Source organism: Homo sapiens, chromosome 5, assembly GCF_000001405.40.
Source record: "Homo sapiens chromosome 5, GRCh38.p14 Primary Assembly".
Taxonomy (NCBI): Eukaryota; Metazoa; Chordata; class Mammalia; order Primates; family Hominidae; genus Homo; species Homo sapiens.
Genome location: NC_000005.10, coordinates 105,393,154 through 105,399,153, shown reverse-complemented (window position 1 = coordinate 105,399,153; position 6,000 = coordinate 105,393,154).

Below are 6,000 nucleotides of genomic sequence, written 5' to 3'. Positions count from 1 at the left end.
TGATGCAACTTACCAATGTTATAGGACCAAATAGTTACAGAGGTTAAAAGATACTTAAAAAAATTACGCAGTGAAAATTATGTAAATATTAGCAAATTTAAGGCAAGTAATGTTAAACCCTAGAGTCATTCTTTAAGACTAGCCTACCTCCTTCCTGAGAAGTGAGGATTTTTTTTACCAACTTATATTTCTGTCTCTCTAGAACTTTCTCTTTGTCTTTTTTTACTTTCTCTTTCATGATGCAGGACATTTGTATTTATTTTGTTTCCTTGGAAGAATCTATTGTGTTTGCAGTTGAGCACGATATTGAGTAAATTACCACACCAAGTGTCTGACTCTCCCTAGACCTTATTTATTTTTCTCATCTAAATGATTAAGTCTCGTCATGATTCTTCAGACATTTTCTTCCTGTCCTTAATCATCTTCAGTTTTAGTTCTTTTGATTAAATATCTCTCCCTCCTAAAGTGTCTGAAACCAAGTCTTCTACTTATTTGATAGCTGTCTCACGATATTTCTTAGATTCATCCCACATCAATGTATCACACATCACTGAATGTATGCAAGATAACTCGTTGGCATTATAAATGCAGAAAATATAATTTGTATGTGATTATGAAATGTGATATTCATTGCATCTTATTACAGTAAGAAAAAAACATAATTTTCATTCTTGAAATGTATATATTTAAGAATACATTTAAGATTGTTAAACTGATTCAAACAATCACATTTAAAACAGTATGCAGAAAAGGCACTTATTTTGTTAATGCTCATATTTCACTACCAAAACTGTGTCATGTGCATTTAAAACACACACCCAGAGCTTTATACTCCAATAAATTTGCACAAGAAAATAAAAATACGTGATGCTAATTAACTATGTAAAGAGGATTAAACAGTGCTAAGAAATAACCTTTGCCTTAATCAGTAGTAAATGTATTTAAAATGTTAAGAAAATGGAAATAAAATGATAAAAATCATTTTTGCTAAAAGGGATATTAAGAAAAATGCTTTGATTATTTAAATTCTATGGGTAATATGGTTGCTGGTGGTCATTTAATTATTGGAGAGGAAGCTGTGAAAATGGCCCCCAGCAGGAGTGTGGATTTATCATTATGCATATAGAATAGAAACTTAGCTTGGGTTTTTAAGATGTTATTTCTGCATGAAAAGACCTAGCAAAAGCTATGTAAGAAAGGCTGAGACTGCACTAGTACTTGCTCAAATGCTAACCAAGAATATTATACATTGCACACAATGACAACACGTGTTATTGAGGGGAGGAGGAGAAAGCATCTACAGCTGCCACTTGAAAGGAAATGTCTCAGGGTTTTTATGAGTGATCAAAATCACATTGGATAATTATCCACATTTATTTTTGAGGAGTCCATAAGATTCATCAGTAAATACTCTTCACTTTGAGAGAAACAATACATTGCCACAGGGCATGTCACACTGACATATTGTTTCTGCAGAAGTTAGCAGCAAGAACTGAGGTAACTACAAAACTGCAAGTATTGTAATATAACCTTAGTCCATCTGGATGCACGAGATAGTTTTAAGTTTCATTAAGCTTTTATTAGAATCATGACAACTGTCCCAGTCTATTTTCAGGGGCTTGTCTGTCCAGTTCCTCATTAATTTTATCAGAGGAAAAGTGCTGATAGTGTTCAAAGTGACCAAAGGCTATTATTTTGTAGAAGATTGTAGATACCAAAAGTAACAACTTTCCACTATGCCCATGAAGCTAAACTGTATCATCTTCCAATGGAATGCACTGTGATCCTTACTGCATTGGACTTCATTTCCACATATTTATATATTTTTTCAAATTATTCTTATTGTTTTTAGGAAAGCGTCACCCAATGAAAACCAAGACCCCAACTATTTAACTTTATATAACTAACCTATAATTAATAATAATATTTTTTGCCATAATTTAATCAATACTAAAATCTTTAGACCTGATAATATTTCACAATCTAAGCATCATAGAAATATTTCTGTTATCACCAAAAAAAGATAAAGTTTATTTTAGTATAGTGGCTAAGCAATAGTTTAGAACTTCTTTAATACAAGTTCAATAACAGCTTGCTTTTTAAAAACATTATTTAATGTTAATCATTTAGTTTCTTCACATTTAAAATCAGAAAAAAATTGTTATTGTAGTTAAACAACTATAACTGTTGATACTTCTTGTTTATCCATCATTGGTGTTAAACTGTCTTCATCTCAATATATTAGTATCCTGTATATACTAATCTTGTGGTACTTTTGTTCTAGGAAAATGGGCCCACTTTCCATCTTATCTTTCCTAATACACTATAAACATATCAAGGAAGGAAAATAGCTTGAATCATCTTTGAATATCACATTGTTTCTTGCATATTAGCACTTTGAAAGTTGAATGAATAAATCAATGAATGAAGAAAAAAATGTAGTAAGTCACGAAACATAAATTAAAAAGACGAAAGCCGAGCTTGATGATGTGTCTAGCATGGTGAACTGTAGCTAGTTAGTTGAGAGCTAAAATGAACAATATCTGGAAATGCCTAAAAAGTATTTACCAGTGCACCTGCCATTAGAAGTGGATGTACTAATTTTAGGCACTGGTATATTATAAACCACAGTGAAAACCCTGCTTCCTTTAGATTCAGGTTAGGAAGGAGTATGATGGAAGAAGAAGCACTGGATGAATAATAAAGAAAAGTTTTCTAATAAGTGAGATGGTAAATATACTTTGTTTTCAGACAGAACATTTTCATGGCATGTAAAGCAATACCTTTGTTTAAATATTCATTTTGCTCTACTTAAATTTGTAACAGTAAAAACGAAATTGCTGCTTTGAGTCTTGACATATTTTTATACAATTTAACAAAATTTACTATGATTTAATACTTAGCACTTAGATATTATAAATGCAAGGTTAACAAAATATTTACAGTTTGAAAATCATGCAGCTGTATCCAGCCATTTCCTGAATAGAAAGAAATTTTATTTTACTATGATGACTGCAAGGCTATGATTTGGGACAAAACTTGGATTGGGTTGGATAAGAAACATGATTAAGTTAGTAATATTATTTACTGGAAAAACAGTCTAACAGGAGCAAACTATACAATGTTATAGCATTCTACAAGTACGATACAAAATCCGGTACTCATCTGTGATATTTCAGTAGACATTCTAATATTCTGTTAGTGAATTGCTTTAATAGCATCACAGTCTGTGTCCTATTATTGACTTCCAAGAACAGCATGAGACAATTGGTTTTTTATAATGCAGTTGTAGATCAAAGCAGTTTATCATATAAATGGCTATCCATAGGAGTAGATAATTCTGATGAGATTTACCTAATTTATTTTTAGGAAATAAAAAAAGTATCACTAGATTTCAGAAAGCATAATTAAAATACTAATTGAAAATACTGTGCTACATGTGTATCAACTGTCATCTCACTTTTTTAGAGTTCTGTCAGTGTTTTAAACACATCTGGCCAGAACACAATAATGGCAAGACAATGCCATTGTTATCTTTATATCCAATGCTGTAGAATGAAAGTTTGAAAATTCCTCTTTTTACACTATAAAAATAATTAATGATAAGTTAATGTACAATTAGTTTATTATGAAAATTGATAAAGGTATTAGCAAAAAAAGACAGAGGCATTAGAGTACATAATTAAGCTTCTTTAGATAATTTTATACATAGAATTAACACTATTCTTTTTTTTCTGATACTATTCACTATGTTAATCTTACAGTACATGCACTAGATTATGATTTTCTGAATCAAGGCAATTTAACATGAACCACAGATTAACTTAAAGAGTGAAATGATCTCATTTTTGTTTATAGACTTTAGGGTTTCCTTAAAAAATTAATGAAAGTAAGTCAAAGATATAACGTTTATATTTTAAAAAATTGAAATTAGTCACAATTAGAAAACTGTTTTAAGTATATAAAATTAATTTACAATTCATCATAAAACATGATGCTATTTCCTTCTATAGTTGTATTCAGTAATGTGACTTTAGACTCTCCTTACTATAATTAAAGAGCAGTGTAACTTCCTATTAGCATTATAAATCAAAGAGAAATATTCTGCTTATAGCTTCCAGAGAACACTGTCAAACTGATATGTGACATTTCACTATGTCATCAAATTAAGAAACAAAGTTACCAATCTCATAACTAGGGTGTTTTATTCTTACTTAAAATTAAACATTTATCAGGACATTACATACTTTGCAAAATGTCAATTTTCAGGTGCATGATGAGAAACAGACAAAAACCATACAAAGAATATGTGAGCAGATTATGGACAAAATACCTTCTTAATGCCATTTTCCATGTCATATCTTTGTTGGTTTATTGGTTTTCTTTTGTTTCATAGTATGCTGCAAAATGGTAAAACAATTGTCTTCTCTTATTTGATACCAGCACATATCTTTTCCCCTTTTATGTTTTCCTGCAGATAAATAATATGTTTTGCATGTATTTTATTTATTTATTTATTTATTTATTTACAGATAGAGTCTCGCTCTGTCACCAAGATGGGAGCATAGTGGTATGATCATAGCTCACTACACCCAGTAAGTCCTGGACTCACACGATCCTCTGGCCCCAGCTTCCCCAGTAGCTAGGACTACAGGTGCACAGCACCACATCTGGCTTATTTATTTTTATATTTTCAGAGACAATGCCTATTTTTTCCACGCCTTTGCCTCCCAAGTAGCTGGGATACAGGTGTGAGCCACCGTGCACAGCTATCTCTTCATTAAAACATCTGATTGTGGACTTATAGTATTATAAAGAATTACATAAATTTTAACGTGCATATATTATTCTTCGGAATCCATGGGGAAAAATATTTTCAAGAAATGATAATGAAACAGTTGGCTAGCCATCACTAAAAATAGTAAAACTTTTCTATTACCTTATACCTTGTACAAGAATTAAAATGTACAATTAAGAGCTAAAATTATAAATCTAGAAGGAAAAATGGTACAAAATTAGTGTAATCTTCAGTTGTCAATAATTCTCTTAATAGAGTTACAACTTCTTGAACTATAAAACATTAAATAAATTCTTCATCAAAATTATAAACTCCCTTTCTCCAGATCAATGTGCAGAAAATGAAAAGGGAAGTCACAGCATGGGAGAAAATATTTTCAAATATACTTCTAACTAAAGACCTGTGTTCATAACATATAAAAAGCCTTACAATTCAAAAATGATAATTAGAACAACCCAATAAAAATGAATAATATATTTGAACAGATGCTTCACTAAATAAAACATAGATGAAAATCAGTATGTAAAAATATACTCAACATCTTTGCTTGACAGGGAAATACAAATTAAGTCATTGATATACCATTTCATACACTGTGGAATGGCGGTAATAAAAAGAATCTCCAGACCAAGTGTTGTGGGCGTGGGGAGCAATTCCACCATATTTCTGGTGGGAATGAATACTGGTAAATTCTCTTGGGAAAAAATGTTTGGAATTTCTTGAATATTTAAATTTTCTCTTCCATAGAACCACTCCATTTCATTAGCTGGTGTCTATGCTAGGAAACAAAATCATATGTCCACACAGTAATCTGTACATGAATGTTGGTAGCAACTTTGTGAGAGCCAAAAATCAGCAGCAAATCAACAACTCATTAACAACAAAATGGATAAAATCATGATATGCCCATAGAGTGGACTGCTATTCAGCAATAAATACAAAAAACATGTTTTTGATACATATATCAATGTGGCTGAATGTTGAAATAAGTATGTTGAATAAAAAAGCCAGATAAAATGATCACATACTGTATAATTAGCTTTATCACAATTCTAGAAAATACATAATATTGACAAAGTAATCGGTGGTTCCCTGCATATGTAATTGGAGGAAGGGATGTTTTATAATAGTGATAGTGGCAGGAGGCAGACAAATTCCTAGGCAGATCAGGGTGGGTCCCTGGTGAAATCCAACTTTCAAGC